This window comes from Homo sapiens, chromosome 5 (genome assembly GCF_000001405.40).
Source record: "Homo sapiens chromosome 5, GRCh38.p14 Primary Assembly".
In the NCBI taxonomy this organism is placed as follows: Eukaryota; Metazoa; Chordata; class Mammalia; order Primates; family Hominidae; genus Homo; species Homo sapiens.
The window spans coordinates 169,879,546-169,896,409 of NC_000005.10; the positions used below are offsets into that span (position 1 = coordinate 169,879,546).

Consider the following 16,864-nt stretch of genomic DNA (forward strand, 5'->3'; position numbering starts at 1 on the left):
GTTCTTCTGGAAAGGATGGTGTGCATGAAGGTTTGCTAACCCAACCAGGGGTGTAACTTAATTTAGAATGTTTGCTGGAGATGTTTGAATTAAGTGCTAGAAAAATGCAAACATTCTCAGACATGTTGGAAGGTCATAGTTTAGCCAAATATTGTCACTTTTAATTCGGTTTAGAATATCAGAATGTCAGAACTAAAAGGGACTCTTGGGGCCATTTAATTAAAGACCCTCATTTTTCAGATGGGGAAAATGATTTGCCCAAGGCGAGGTCATGAAACTCATAGTAGACTTGGAAATCACCCCTTGCCCTTTTTACTTATATAGGCCAAATATAAAATCATTTTAAGGTAACAGAAAATACATTATCTGGCTCCGGAAAAGAAGAGAGACTATCCAAAATTTAAATGGAGGTTAGTTCAAATTAATTCTTCTTGTTTATGATGAATAGTTTTGTCCTCTCTGTCTAGACATTTAATAATTTTTGTCCCTTCTAATGATTAGAAAATTTGTTCAAGTTAGAAGATATAAAAAAAGAAGCAGCAAAAAGAGAGCAATTGATGAAACTTCTGCTTAGGCTTTCCAATGCTGCAGGGCTCTTCCGGGGCCCTCTTTTTTAAAGGAAGACTTCACATTGAGGTGAAAGGCATTTATCTGTGAGCAGTCCTGACGCTTCTGTTATTTGATTAAAAACAGGTGGTTCCTCTTTGTAAGGAGCTGATGGGTTCAATGAAAAGATGCTCAAGGCCCTGCCTAAGTGCAAGCACCTTCTGCCTTCCAGGCATATGGTCTCTTACTCATTGAAATTTCAGGATTCTGCCAGAGAGAATGAGAAGTTTTAAAAGAAGACATAGGCAACCCAATTAGGCTCCAGTTTGCTCAGGCCCTAAGCTGCCAGTTTTCAACAAAAAGAGAAGTGTAATAGAGAAAGCAAAACTGTTCACTTTGGTCAACAAAATTAGATGTCGTCAACGGAAATTACTGCTTTTGACCACTTTTCTACTATGCCATGGAAAGTGGGCTTCCAGCTAAGGGGGCATTGATCTTTCTAGTAAAAACAGGTATAAACCCTTGCATTTGTTCAGAGGTTTGCAGTTACAAAACACATTCACATATATTATTTCATTTGGTCTTCATGGCAACTCTGAATAGGGATAATTGTTCCCTATTCAGATAAGGAAAGTGAGCCCAGATTAAGTTAGCTGATGGCAGACTTGGGGATTAAAACACAGATCTTTGACTCCAAGTTTACACTGTATATCATGTTTCCCTTTTGTCACTTATAAAAATTTACTGCAGCAAACTTACTCTGTGCTAGAAGGAAATGACATACTTAGAAATGAACATAAAGTTCTTATCATGGTTCTTGACTGTGCCAAGTAAGGGCTTGGCATAGCATAGCTACTGTTGAGGAAGAGGCAGTGTGGTGGAATAATTAAGATCACAGGTTTGGGATTTGAAAAATCTGGATGTGAGTCCTGAGTTTGGCCCTTTCTGCTCTAGGAAAATGCTCTGTGTGAGCGAGACCGAATGCCTTAACTTTCCTGAAGGTGGAATGAGATGCAAATGTGCATGCCAAGCTTACCATGATGCCTGCACTTAGTGTTTGATAAGCCTAGGGATGATTACATCAAAAGGGTATGCTCATAGACTTTGTTCTAAGGAAACAAAGCAATCCCTGCCTTGGAACCAGATGTTAACATTTCATAGTTAAATACCTTGTTTTTGCCTCTCTTGACTTTTTGCATTTAAAAGTTTGCTAGAGTGTTCAGCGGACCCTATGGCTTTATGGTCTACAGAGCAGGCCTCGCTTGTGGCCAGGTACCTGTATATGATGCACGCCGTGTTCTGGCAGGTACTGCAATTGTTGAGATCTTGGCCAGTTCGATAAAAGTTGCGCCTGCAAGACAGAGCATTTGCTGGATAAATCTATGGGCAAAAGTCACGTGGGCCACAAACATTCAACCTACTTGTCCCTTAGTCCCTATAGCACAGCATTCACGGTGCTCTGAAGTTGCACGGCCATTACAAATAAGGAAACAAGAATGTCACGACAATAGGAGCTCACATGTCTAGAAGGCTTTATACGTGTTAAAGATTTCTCAAGCTGAGAGTTTTTTCATGCTGACAACAATCCTGTTGTGAGATGAGGGATTCTGCAGGTGAGTGGAAGGGAGGTTATTAAAACTCCTGACCTCTTAGTTCAGTACATTTCATTCTGCATCATCACAGTGTTTCTCTCCTATACGGCAGTGCTGATTCTGATTCATACAGCAAACAGCAGTTAATGACTTCTCTCTCCTACTGTTTTTGATGAGCTTTAGCCATTGCTTCTTCTTTGTCTTTAGAGAGCACTTTCTGCAGGGACGAGCATTTCGCATCTAAACAAATAACTGCCTTTTCCTCCTATACTGGTGCTGAGTCACCCAGGAAAGCATTTTGTGACTTTTTTTCTCTTTGCCGAAAATGAATTGTGCAAAATGAATTGTGATCTCATTTCAGTTCCAATTAGTTGGTCATTGATGGGCCAGCCCGTCATCAAAGTAGTCAGTACAGGGGAAGGTCAATAGTAAGCTGAGTGGCCATCTCAAGTCCTTTGTCACAATGACATGAAGAACAGAAATACTGTACAAATGCAGTAGCTTGCTAAGAGGAGGGGGATGGGGAAGTGCCTTCCTGCTATCATTTTCCCCCATCATGTATCAATAGAACCCTCATCTTCATAAAAATCATTTTTGATCTTACTGCTCCATTGCTGCCTTTCCCCATTCTGTTAACACCTGAAAACGAAAACAAACAGCAGTAGAAATCCACAGAAATCCACCAAAGCCTAGAACTAAATGAAATTCCATTAGAGAAAAGGGAGGTCTGTGGTTATGATTTGGAGAAACAACAGTGCTTCAAACATTTTGGAGACATTTTTACTAAAAGAAACCAAAGCTGTCTCTGCCCCTGTGTTGGCAAATGACTTCACCCAGTCATTTTTAATATGAAAAAAAAATCTCCTTACCCTTCAGTGAGAGCTCGAGCTTTCTCCAAGTCTTGAATTACATTCAAAAGGACTTTAATTTTCTCTTGGTTCGAGTGCAGAGATTCCTCCACAGATTGCAGTCGGCCTTGGAGGTCGCAGAGTTCACCCCGTGCCAGGTGAATTTGATTAATGTCACTAATCTCCCTGTTGCTCTGAAGTTTGGTCTCACTCCTTGAAAGAGAGGATGGGAGATGATTACTTCCTGGACAATTTGGAAACTCCAGTGTGTCTGACTCGGTGGGGTTGTTTGCCGTCTGCTCCTGACACCCAGGGGCAGATTTCGATGCACTGTTAGTTTTGAGTGACACCAGATTCTGGTGATTGTTACTTGATGAAGGACAGTCTGAGGCTCTTCCTGGGTGGGCTGGCTGGCTGTGGGAGCCTTGTGAGGGGGAACTGTGAGTCCGTGGAGATGAAGGAACACACGTTTCCTTTGACTGAGATGACAGTGAGCCAAGGTCTTTGTCATCTGAGTTGTCTTTGGGCAAAAGCAATTCAGGTTTAAGTTCCTCTGTGCCTGGTGTGTGGCTGGCAACGCTGGTGGCATTTAAGCAGGAGGTGGATTTTTCTGAATCTAGTGGAGTCACCCTTCTCCCATCACCTGGACGTGTGTCATCCAAAGGGTGTATGGAGTTACTTACTTCAGCTGACCTGTCTGGGCTGAGAGCAGACTCTCTAGCTTCCCAGGAAGGACTGTGATAAATATCATCTGGAACCTGAATGGCAGCTGTGGCTTTCTCTAAGGACCTCCAAGTTCCTGCTTCCAAGCATATGCTAACAGGACCATTGCTTTGCACCTTGGGGACCCTTGGGAGGAATGCATGGGACACCTTGACCCTTCGAGGCCCATCCTCAAGATGCTGAGCCAACCTTAAGTAGGCAAGGTCAGAAGACACAATGTCCTGTTCAGAGAGGTTACCGTTGACCTGGATGGCACTTTGGGAGGCTGTTGGCATTTCCACCAGGGACTTACTGGCTGTGAGTCTCTTCCTTTTGAAAACTGGGAAATGCTTCCTGAGACTGGGGGAAGTTTGGATTGCAATGTTGCGAAAGCCCCCTGCCTTCTGGGACCTGGGGAAGGAGAGCGAGTAGGTGGGGGGAAGATGGTGCCTGGTTGCTTGAGTCTTCCCCATCACAGCCGGGTCTTCTGGAGTTTGGACGTCAACCTCAGCTAGGCCAGTTGGATTCTTAGTGGTCCCATCTTCCTTGAATCTCACCTGCTGGGATTTGCTCCTGCGGTGGTGAGGTTGTTTCACAAACTCCACTGATTCTAGACTGTTACGCTTTAGAAGCACAGGTCTCACTTTCATATTTTGCTGGGCCATTGAGCCTCAGTGGGAAGGATCAGGACCATACACTTCTCCTAGGCACATCTCCCCTTAGGTCTTTGGAGCAGTATCTAATGATAGTATTTCAATCATAGAGAACTGCTGGCCAGGATGGAGTGGTCCTCTCCTCTTAGTATGGGAAATCCTGTTGGCCATTCCCAGCCTCTAGAGTCTACGTAGGAACTATCTGTAATGCTTTCCCTGCAGTTAAAATATTAATTCATTGTAGTCATAATTGCTCCTTGGAAAAACAAATGAGTTAGGCTAACTATTAAACATCTGATCTACCAAGAGAGCTGGTAGGCGGTTTATCAAGGGAGGCTGGCACGCGGTTCTGATCTTGGAAGAAGCTGGCTGTCTTGAACAAAAAGACAACAAAAGTACCATTTAGGGGGTAGTGCCAGACTCCCAATGAGTGAATTCCAAAAGAAACCTGCTACGTCTAGAACATACAGCTTTTTGTTTCCCAGAGCATTAATTTCCAGGGTGAAACTGCAGGAAACTTAAATGCATCTTCTTTCCATAGCAGGTAAACAGGTGGAGAAATAAATGACCTGGAGGTTTGCTTGTTTGATGATACATGATGCTCCCAAGGGAACATTCCCATTTATGTCAATCACAAATTCCTCCTTTGGGGCCATTGTTTTCTTTCATGCTGTCTCTCTTTTCTTCAGTGAGGGAAACTTATCTTCCTAAATAGCCTCACAAAACCCAGTGGGGTATGACCAGGACAGGATTGAGGAATCACAGGGGATTCAGTGGGCAGAGTCCCTGTTGTGGTGTGTTGGCCGAAGTTCACATGTGGGCACGGTGAGCTACGTCTGCAGCCTCCATGATGATGTATGTTTGCTTGGCCTCAGGGGCTGAGGTCTGAGATGAGCTGGGGTCTGATATCTGCAAGCAGGCGAGGAGCACCTGAAAGGGAAGAGACAACAGTGGCCAATGAGAAGGCAGTTTCTGTGGACCTGGATTTCTCTTCAAATTCTAACTTCCTAGCTGAGTATTTTGAGTGGAGGGTCTAGGAATAAGTCAACCACGTGGCCTTTCTCTCGGTTCTCTTTGTGAACCAGGTGCTTTGTGGGTGCAAGGCCTTGGAACAAAATGCCTGTCTGCCTGGACCCTTTTCTCTCTCCATTTCTGCACAGCACTCAGCCAACTCCTGTTCATCAGTCAAGTCCCAGCAATTTCTCAGGCAGCCTTTACAATGTCTCCCTCTTACTCACACACCCAGTGCCAAGACCACATCAGGACCCATTGTACATCCTCGTCACATTTTTCACAATACAAATTGCAACTGTTATTAAATAAGCATTTGTGTATGTATTTATTTAATGTGCATCTCCTCCACTACCCTGTAGACTCCGGAGGGCAGAGGCTGGAACCATCTCATTCACTGCTTGAGCATTCCTAGCCCTCTTTCTGGCTCACTATAGGTGCTTAAGCAGAATTTGTTGAAAAAGTGGATGGTTGGATGAAGGGCAGGTCCTTGTGAATTAAAGAGAGCCTGGGCATGAAGAGGAGTGAAGGTCCTAGGGTATCCTGCTAGGGCAACAGGACCTGTGAACTCGTTCTGCTATGACTGCAACATTTATTTAAGGACAAAATTCTCCCCTGATGTCTTCATTTCTTATTGCTTTTCAGGAGATAAATGTGCATGAACTTCTCTGAGGAACAACTACCTCATAATAATAATAGCCACCATTTATTGAGCACATACTTTTACCATGCTGAGGACTTTACATGCATTAATTAAAACAACTCATATTTACTGAGTACTAACTAATGTGACAGATGCTGTTCTAAGCGCTTTCCAAGCCATAACTCATTCATTAATCACAAACTACTCTATAAGGTAGATAATATTTTTGTCCCCATTTACAGTTGAATAAACCGAGGCCCAGAAGGGTTAAGTAACTTGCCTAAACATATCCTACTGCTTTTCCAATATTGCATTATCTCATTTAATCCTTACAAAAAATCCATGAGGTGCCATTATCCCCCTTAGACTTACGGGGAAATTGAAGCTTAGAGAGGGTAAGTACTCAGTAGAGGAGCTAGAATTTGAACCCAGGTGTCTGTCATTCCAAAGTCTGCATTCTTAACTATGAAGTTATGACTCTGCCCTTTTGGGATCTGCATGATATGTTGACAGTTGCTAAGAACAAGGGTAAAAGACCCTTGCAGATCTGGAGTGATCTGCATCTCTCTTTATAAAGAAAAAAACCCCTCTTTTTCTTTATAAATTACACAGTCTCTGGTATGTCTTTATTAGTGGCGTGAGAACAAAATGAGCCATCCTGGGACAGAATGAGCAGAGTTTCATGAGCAGGTGGTTCCTCATTTGCCTTGCCTGTTTGAAGAGCAGGGTTGGCTTCTGAGAGTGGCATTGTCACATACCTCTCTGAGGAGATGAACCTACTGGTCCCGAGTTGCTTTACATAAAAATTCCAAACAATGCAACTTTTAGAATTGGTTCTATGTTTCAATGACTTTGTGTAGGACTTTTAGGTCTGGGAGAATCCCAGAGACAATTTCCTCAGTCCATGACTAAATCCTTTCTGCATCTTCCTCCTCAGATAATAATTAAGCCTGCCTGGATACCTATGATAATGGGGAGCTCAGTACCCAATTCCCTAGTCCATAATAGTTATTTTCATTAATAGTAACAAATATGTATTAACAACTCACTGTTAAATGCTATGTTAGCACCTGGCATTTAATCCTCAAAATAACCTCCTGTATATTATCCCCGTTTTGCAGAGTAAGCAGTTGAAATTTGTGAGATGGTCGCATGCTTAAAAACATGCAGTTCATACTCTTCATCTTTGTACTGCAGAGCCTAGGTATTTATATGTCTACTTTTGAGGGTTTCCTTGACTAATTGTTTTTTGCTTTCTTCTTAACTGCTCATTAGCACTTCATTCTGGGAACGATAACTCACACAGGCTATGATTGTCTGAGGCTGGTTTTCATAAGAGCTAATGTCTAGTGCATTGATTATGTGCCAGGCATTGTGATTGGTATGTTTCATTTACTCTCTTCCTTAATCCTATGACACTCGTAGAGGCAGGTGCGATCAGTTCCCCACTTTATAAATGAGGGAACTGAGGCACAGAAGATGAATATATTTATACCAAGTTATTCACACTGATAAGTGATGGAGCTGTCATTTGGACCCACAGACTGACCCTGAAGCACAGGCTTCTCACCATTGGGCCTTCCTGCCTTCTTCAGGACTGGAAAGATTAATATTTTTGTGCAAGGCTAGCAAGCAGGTTTCAAACTCCCTCCACATTTTCATTCTGAAAGTCAGTCATTATTCTGGTGTTAGCCCTGCCTTTTCTCCAGGAAGTTTATGTATCCTTTAGATGTTTTCTTTTGATCTTTAAAAGCAGTTGGTTTTCTGCTTATAAAGATATTATTTGTTCATTGTAAAAATTCAAATAATACAAATAAACAACAAAAGGAAGAAAAAAATCACCTGAAATCTTACCACCCAGAAAGAGCCACAGTGCACCAACAATTTGGTGACATTCATTCTAGCCTTCTCCCTGTGCAATGCTTGCACAGAAATTGCATACACAGACAAGCTTATGGACAGAAAGCCTTTTGTTCACTGAACAACCTGGAGAAAGTTACACATTATGGTGTACAGATCACACTGTCCTTTTAAGTAGGCTAACATGAATTTGTCTAGTTATACAATTATCTATTTAAATAGTATTTTTGTGGATATTTAGGTTGTTTCTAAATATTTGGTATTATTTAAAAGTCTATAAATAAACATTTTTATGTAAATCTTGGAGCTCTTGTCTAATTATCTTCTTGAAATAAATGCCTAGAAGAAGAATTAGTGAGTCAAAGTAGCTGTGCATTTTAGATTTCGTTGATACTACCATGTTACCACTCATCCTTCTATGAAGTTCTACTAACGTGCAACTCTGCCATTACTGCATGAGAAGGTCTTTCACCAGAACCTCTTTGTTACTGTGCCTGGTCAATTTATGATGATTGTTTTTAATCATTGCCAATAAAGTAGAAAAGAAATTGTATCTCATTATTCTCGATATGGAATTTATATGAGTGGACATTTTTTCACATGTTTATTGGTTTTACACAACGTTTGATACAAATAAAGGCTGAAAAGTTGAAAATGAAAATTTGAATAGTCAAACGAATGTGGAAACTCTCGTATTTTTAGACAGAGCCTAGGAAGTTTAGGAAATACAAAATTTTCTCTTGACAAAAATATTTTGTGTCGGAACTCTCCTGCCCTTGATGTCCACCATGACCCTTGCACAGACACATCGTGGGGAATACACCTGGCTAAAAGCACCCTCTGGAGGCCCTTAAGTCTTATGGGCTCCCAATTGTCCATTAATTCACATTTCCCTAGGCATTGGTGGTTAGGGCTAAATTAATATCCTGGCCCAGGATCCAGAATCGTTCCCCACAGGTGGTCACAGCTGCCCTACGGCTGGAATTATTACTGATCTTTGCAACACTTTATTCTGTCCTCCCTTGATTATTGACTTTAGTGAACATGAACCAACTGTTTATGTTCCATCTATGCCTTTGGCCCACAGCAAATGGTCCTCATGGAATCAGTGTCCATTCAGTAGATACAGAAACATTGGACAATATCTCTGTAGGTTGCAAACTGTAGGCTTTCTCTGGAATTCCTGCCCAGTCCTCTTTTCTCAGTATCTTTAGGCCATACAGTGAGGGGTTAAGTGCATAGGCTTTTGCTTAAGATCTACGTAGATGAGACTCTTCCACTTTCTGACTATTGACTTGGAACAAGTGACTTGATCTTTGTAAAACCGCCTAAACTGGTTGTGAGAATTAAATGAAATAATCTATATGAAATGGTCAGGATAGTCAGTGTTCACTCTTCAGATAGAACCCAGCTGGTAGCCATGAGACACTTGTGAATTTGTCTTTGTCCCTCCTCTTTCCCTTGGGATAGTAAACTGTAGGTGCATTCATGGGAAGGAATGTACAAAGATGGCATTCCTTTGTGCAAGAAGTCCTATCTCCCTGCCGTCTCTGTACTTTGTGTCTTTAGCATTGTGCTTGTCTCTCTATATTGTGATGATCTGCTGACTTCTAGCCTCTTCAACTAGACTCTAAGCTCCTTGAGAGACATGTGGTAATGGTCTACTCTGAGTCCTTACCCCTCCGCTTGACACAGAGAGGGTCTTATATAAACTCTTGTAAAACAAATGAATATAATCCTGTATTATCTAATTTGCCTTAGCTTCTAAGACATGGAATAGTTGGATAGTTGCATGGAATAAATATTTGCATAACTAATTAAGAGTGAAGGAATTAATTCACTTCCAACATTTTTTTTCCTTTCAAAGATTTATTATCAGTAGGTCTCATGTCTGTTTTCTAGTCTACTATGCTTTCTCTATTTACGGCAGCTTTAATTTGGTTAAACTTTATTTAGATTCTGTTGTGAGGTGGGCACTGTAATAAATACTGTGGAGATTCCAAGGAGGAAAAAGACCTGATCCCTATTGTAGCACTAAGAAAGGACCTTGTAATGCCAACCTCATATGGAATCTGTTCCTAAGAATTGCTACAAAACGTTGTACAGGGTAGGGGAAGACTTAGAGGAAGGTATCTGATTCATTTCATGCATCCAAATTCTGCCTTACATAACAGGGTGCTTTACGTGTTAACTGGGGTTCAGACTATCCTTTACGCCAGGAGTCAGCAAGTTTTTTCTTTAAAGGGCCAGATAGTAAATATTTCCATCTTTGCTGGCCACACAGTTTCTGTTGCAACCATTCAGATCTGCCATTGTGGCAAGAAATAAGTCATAGACAATATGTAAACAAATGGCTCTGGTTGTGTTCCAATAAAACTTTATTTATAAAATATGCAACTGAATGGATTTGGCCTGGGAGCCATAGTTTGACAACCTCCGCTTTAGGCACTGGGAAGTCATTGGTGGTTTTTGAGCAGGAGGCTCTTGATTAGGTTGTTTTTCAGAGGAGGCTTTGTTTGCTGACACATTGCCGTGTCCCTTCTCTGAACTTAGTAATAATAACCTTTACTGTTTACACCACACTTTACAACTTATAAAGCATTTTCAAATCCCATGTAATCCCCACTAGGGAGGCTGGGAAGCATTATCCCTGTTTTAAAGAAGACGAATTCAATCCAGAAGGACTCGATGACTTGTCCTAAGTCACAGAGGTAGACTGGAACCCTGTCTTCCTGCTGCCAGCCTCGGGGCTCTGGTGGAGACCCCGACTCTTCCTCCATTTAGCTGGCCAGACATCTAATTACTTTATGTGTTAGTCCTGTTTCCTCAGTTACAGGATGCATTTCTAAAGTGTAGGGATATGTCTTCCACTCTTTTTCTATCCTCCAAAGTCCTAAGCACAGTGCTGAGTCTTTAAGGAGCCATTTACTGTTGATCATTCACCTCTGGGCCTTGTGGTTCAAAGTTTGTTTTCCTTCCATTTGTCTTCAGTTAATTGCTTGGTCAAATCTGTTGGTAAGGGTTATTCCATACTCATCTGAAATCAAAGGGTTAATGCTTGTGGTCCAAGTATCCACTTATCTTTCCAATTTGAAATTTGGAAAGCTAATTTTCCAAATTATATATTCCAAAAATATACCCCTTTCCGGCAGCTTTCTCAGTAAGGAAAAGGGTATATTTTGGGGGTCTGCCTAAATCTACATTCTGTTGTAAGTGGTCAAAGAAACAAAGGGAATTGACTTTCTTTATAGCACATGGGTTGACTTGAGGAAAAAATTGGGCACCAAAAGGTGAGGTTAAGATCCAGACTTATATATTTGGGACCCTGAAAGATGTTGGATATGTGCTGATTGTGAAATCTTGTTCTCATCTTTCTATATACCATGTTTGACTTTTTTGCACAAATTCTGGTATTCACACCCAGGTCTCCATCATCTCTCACCTGTATCACTGTGAGTGTCCCCCTCTCTTGTCCTCTTTACCATCTGTCCTCCACACAGCAGCCACAGTAATCTTGATAATATTTAATCAGATCACATCAGGCCCCTCTTTGAAACCCTGCAAAGGTGTCCCACTACATTTAAATTAAAATCCAAACTAGTTCCATAACTTTCAGGGCCACAACCTTGAACACAAGCCACAACCCTATGTCATCTGGCCCCTGTCTACCTTCCTTGTCCCATCTCATCTCATGCCACTTTCCCCCTTTTCTGTGACATGGTCCCTGGCCCTGAACATGCTAGATTCATTCTCATCATCTGGCTTTCAAATCTGCTATTCCTTTTGTTAGGACTCCTCTTTCCCCAGATCCTTCCAAGCCTGTTATCTCCAGGAGACACTCCCTGACCCCCTCTCCCCTTCCGTGTCCCTCTGTGCAGCAAAACCCTGTCCTATTAGCTTATTTGTGTATTATCTGTCTCTGCTCCCATTTATTGAAGAACTTTAGTATTTGTTGAATGAATGAATAGAGTAAATTCTTATAGTTAGAGGCTTCAAGGAATCATACAACCTTAGAAATAGAACAGAGAAGTTTAAAACTTTAGATCTTGGGTAGAATCTTATTTAACGATTTTCAAAATTCCCTTAGCAGTAAAATCAGCTTTCCAAATCCAAGCTTAAGCACAATTCCAATATCTAAAACAGAATAAAGTGGAGTTGTTCTAGAAAATGTAGGGGACTCAGTCCTGGGACTCAAAGCAAACCTAAAAACCACGAAGACAACCCCCCTCATTATAGAGATGGGGAAACTAAGACTCTGAGCAGCTGTCTTCTACCTGCAAGTGCTTCAAAAAGAACAAAGTCAGCCGGGCACGGTGGTTCACACCCATAATCCCAGCACTTTGGGAGGTCAAGGCAGGTGGATCACAAGGTCAGGAGTTCAAGACCAGCTTGGACCAGCTTGGGCAACATAGTGAAACCACATCTCTACTAAAAATACAAAAAAATTCTCTGAGTGTGGTGGCAGGCACCTGTAATCCCAGCTACTTGGCAGGCTGAGGCAAAGAGAATCGCTTGAACCTGGGAGGCGGAGGTTGCAGTGAGCCGAGATTGTGCCATTGCACTCCAGCCTGGGCAACAGTGCGAGATTCCGTCCCAAAAAAAAAAAAAAAAAGAAAAAGAAAAAAGAAAAGAAAAACAACAACAACCACTACAACAAACTTTAGACCTTGGGGAGAATCTTATTTAATGATTTTCAAAATTCCTTTAGCGGTAAAATCAGCCTTCCAAATCCAAGCTTAAGCACAATTCCAATATCTAAAACACAATAAAGTGGAGTTGTTCTAGAAAATGTAGGGGACTCAGTCCTGGGACTCAAAGCAAACCTAAAAACCATGAAGACAACCCCCCTCATTATAGAGATGGGGAAACTGAGACTCTGAGCAGCTGTCTTCTACCTGCAAATGCTTCAAGAAGAACAAACTTGCTGGTGTGTATCCCCTACACCCGCACAGCTTCTAGCATGGAGCAGGAGCTAGGTGAACATTTGTGGAACTGCACAAGTGACACATTGAGTTGAAGGCAGAAGTGGAACTAATGTCAATCCAGGTTCTCCTCTTCTCCAGTACACCAGTGAGAAAGGTTGAGGGCCATGGCCCACCTGGTTCCAGCTCAGGTGCCTCATTTGGAAACAGACCTAGTGGAGAAGACAGGCTTTCTGATCCCAGAGGCCTCTCCGATGGATGGGCAAGCCACTAATGCTATTTTTTTCTACCACTCCAACCCTCTAATTGCATTTGTCACAGACACCCAGGGAGATATGACTACCATCTACCTCTACCTCCTCTTCATTTTTATCCTTTCTTCTACCTTATCTTTCTTTTTTCAAAAACATAATAAAATGTTTCAGGTGTGCAAGACAGCACAGAGGACAGTAGAGTGAACATAACAAACATGACCAGCCTAAGACATGAAAGGTTACAAATCTAGCTGGATTATCCTCTGGATTTCCTCTCTCCTTTCTCTTTTATTGTGTTTCCCTCTGTCTTCACTCCTTCTTTTCCCCTTCTTCTCTTCTGTTTTCTCCAGCATGGCTCCCCATTTCATTTCTCCCCTCTCCTCCCTGCTCTTTGTCTCACCACCTTTCTTGCCCTCCTCTTTTCCACACCCTGCCCTTCCTCTTCCTTCATTTCTTTTGTTCCTCTCTAGCCCCTTCTCTTGCCTTCTCCTTCTCTCTTGCATCTTCATAAATGTTTTAGGGTCAGTGATTCATTCCTTTGGCTATTCTATGTCAAGGGTGGGGAATCAGCATCTCTTGAATTTCCTCTTTTGCAAGCCTCAGGGCACCTGCCCTGTAGGGACAATTCTGTGGTACATTCACCCCTCTAGCCAGAGGCATTGGCTGCTGCTGCTGCTGCTGCTGAATCTGAAAGGTCACCTCCAGCTTGCTTTCTCCAGGGGAAAGCCTTTACTACCACCAGATGCAACTGCTGGCCAATTCATCCAGCTTCTCATAGAAGAAAGGGCATTGGCTTAATATTATCTCTGTATTTCTCAGCATTTTGATTTCTCTCCAGAGATTTTTCTGATATTTTTCAATCCATTTGTTTTTCACTACATAACTGGGGACATTTTCTTACCCTTTTTTTTTTTTTTAGGTCATACCACTTTTTGACTTTAAATAATTTGATTTATTTTTCCTGGGGTCAAACACTGGGGGAGCTGCCTGCTCAAACAGATAGAAGAATCTAGAATCTTTTTGATTTGTTGTCAGAGGAATAGCTCTGTGTGTCAGATGGAAGGGAGAGAGCAGAAGTGGGTGGTCATGTTTCACCCCTCTTCTCCATAAGCTCCATCCAGAAAAAAACAACAGGAAGCCAGACAGACAATGATTTGCATTGCTGTGAACAGATTTACTCATAGGGTACAGAGTTGGCACAGGCCACTTCTAAGTTATTTTTCAATGTTGACGTGTCAACATTTTCCACATGGGAGAGGGATCCAGTTGGAATGGAAGAAGGCAGGAAAATCGTTTTCCATCTCAGCATCACTTTCTGTGGTTTTGTGGTACTTGGAAACTCTGTTTACACTTGACAATCTCTTCCTGTAGATTGTCTAAAGAAATTATGAATAAAATTGGAAAAGTCTTTCCATTCTGAAGGGACCTATGCTCCAGTATAGACCAGTCACACACATTTGGCTGATTAAAATACTAGTCGTTGTACTAAAAACGACAGACTCCAGTGACCCCTTGCTTGTCAATAGCACTGCCAAAGTTTTCAAAGCATTTTTAGATTTACTAGCCCTTTTCCACCTCACAACAAGTTTTGCCAAGACTAGGCATTATCACTCCCATTTTGCAGATGAGGGAACTGGTAGAGAGGTGCGAGATTTGCCCAAGATGAAGGTGGTCTGGCAGGACCAAAAGGACAGCAGAAATTTCATTAGATCAGAGAGCTTCTAATGGAGGCCAGAAGAAGCTGGGTGCCTCTTAGAGGTGCCTTGGGTGGGGGCTGGCAGGATTGGCCCACAGCATGACTTGGAAGTACCCCCTTCTCCTGACATAGATACACATTGCACACCCACCAAGGACAACTGTTGGGCCCTGGACTCTGCAGTGCGCCATCCACCCTGGTACAGCAAAGCATTGGCAGGCAGCTGCAATGAAGGTTTTCCCACTTCTGGATCCCTGCCTACACTGAAGAATTTTCACAAGGGGAAGAGAAGGGGGGAAGTTTATGGTCTGATCTAATCACAGATGAACAGAGAACTCGGTGGCACAAGCAGTTTGCAAAAGCGCATGACTGCAGTGCCATTAAAGAGCCCACTCTTCATTTCTGAGATGAGTAAACAGCGTGCCCAGCAGCATGTGCAACACACAGTAGGTGCTCAGTAAATGGTGACTTCCACTGTTCTTATCTTTACCATGGTTACCATTATGCACTGGGCCCCAGGTTACACAGAGACGGGACAAAATCCCAGGTTTTGAGAGTCCATGCGGGGGTTGTGGCAAATCTCAAGTAACATTAAAAGGCAGAAGTAATAAAAACGAAACTCAAGGAGAAAATGCTGCCAAATGTCCCGTCTGCTGGTTTTGGTGTTGTGGCCCCCCGTGAGGTCTGCCATTTCTTAAGGGGCCAAGAACATCTCTGTGGCTTTTTGTCATTCATTTCCTCCTCTCGTGCAGGAATCTCAGACCATTGCTGGAATCGATGTTGCATTCTGGGACTTAGGCTCTCTGCCTGTACAAGCTGTGAAGCCCCATCCACCTCCCATGCAAATCACAGGCTGTGTAGCACACCTTTAATTGCCTCTCACCTGATGGGCTCACGGTGTTTGCCTAATGACAAAGGATATCCTTTTTCTCATGGATGCTGGTCAAATCCAGAAGTATAAAAGCTCAAGTTTAAATGTCCCCCTTCCTTCTTTCTCCTTTCCTCCCTTCCTTTCTCTCCCTCCTCCTTCCCTCTCTTGTTTCTTGCAAAGGGAAGAGCATATGGTAGAGAGAACCACCCAGCCTCAACCCCACTTCTCACTCTCCAGGATAGGAGACTAGGAAAGGCACTGAGCTGGGTGGAGAACTTTCCTGGAGATCCGGGGACAGGGGGTGGTCTCACTCCTAACCACCTATACTCACCTGAGTCTTCTCCCCTGCCCCTAGAGAAAAGCAGCCAGCAGCCAGCATTCACGCATCCTCTTCTTTTGGGGGTAGGATCACACTCCCTAAAGCTCCTTCGGTGCCCCATGCTTTCACCCTGACTCCAGCCACTGGGGGTTCCACCTTCCCTCCACGTTACCTATTGTAACCACAGCCCCCGAGAGCAGGGTGACATTCCATCTCCTGGAATGAAATACTTATCATGACTTGGCAAAGCCTTTCTCTTACAAAGAGTTATTCATGCACTTACACCTAAACTTGCTGAATGACCTAGGACAAGTCATCTCATATCTGGGTTCTCAGTTTCCTCATTTGAAAATGAAAGGAGCATTTGGCTCACATAACGCAGTGCCTGGCACATAATAGATATAGTAAGAATCAGCCAGCAGACCTCTTGGCTTCCAACCTTCCTTCCTTCTTCCCTATTTTCTGGCCTGGAGATGTCCCCGATTACCACTACCCTTGTCTTGCCTGAACAGGGACCTTTATGTGAATGCTATGATCTCAAGCCTGGCCTTGGCCACCCTCCATGATCCTTTCTGGGCCAACGACCAGGACAGCCTTTCTGTTTCCCAGTCCCATGTCTGAGCCTGATTGGCTGCACTGGGGCACAGGGATTGGAAGGAGCTCCCAGAGCGTGCAGGCAGATGGTGAAAGAGCCAGAAACCGTTGCTCCTGGGGTCGGGGGGCGGGGAGGCAGTCAGCAGTGAGCAACTTCTTAAAGCTCACATCAACATTCCCCATTCTGGATGAGATCCAGAATCTTATGGGTTCAGAGTTTATCTGAAGTACCGGGACCCCTTAAATCCCATGTGGAGTGGCTGGGGGTGGTCTGATAATTTAGGTAGTGTGGCATGGTGGACAAGAGCTTGCATTCTGAAAACAGACGGCTTAGATTTCAATGCTGGCTCTGC

The 16,864-nt window shown here is 43.0% G+C and overlaps 2 protein-coding genes across 9 annotated transcripts in view; one reads left to right on the forward strand and one right to left on the reverse strand.

Moving 5' to 3' along the window:
- The window catches only part of DOCK2 (dedicator of cytokinesis 2), a 446,108-nt gene that overhangs the window by 242,271 nt on the left and 186,973 nt on the right, over positions 1-16,864 (forward strand). The gene's annotated exons all lie outside the window — the stretch shown is intronic.
- The window catches only part of INSYN2B (inhibitory synaptic factor family member 2B), a 119,193-nt gene that overhangs the window by 18,243 nt on the left and 84,086 nt on the right, over positions 1-16,864 (reverse strand). For 2 of the 4 annotated variants that reach the window (NM_001346304.2, NM_001129891.3), the window contains exons 2-3: positions 3,008-5,271; positions 1,823-1,897 (exon numbers count right to left, since the gene is read on the reverse strand). In NM_001346304.2, coding sequence (NP_001333233.1) covers positions 1,823-1,897; positions 3,008-4,353 — 1,421 coding nt within the window. In that variant the 5' untranslated portion in view covers positions 4,354-5,271. Of the gene's footprint in view, positions 1-1,715; positions 1,898-3,007; positions 5,272-16,864 lie in introns of all 4 variants that reach the window. The other 2 variants (XM_047416585.1, XM_017008908.2) reach the window with 1 other exon arrangement.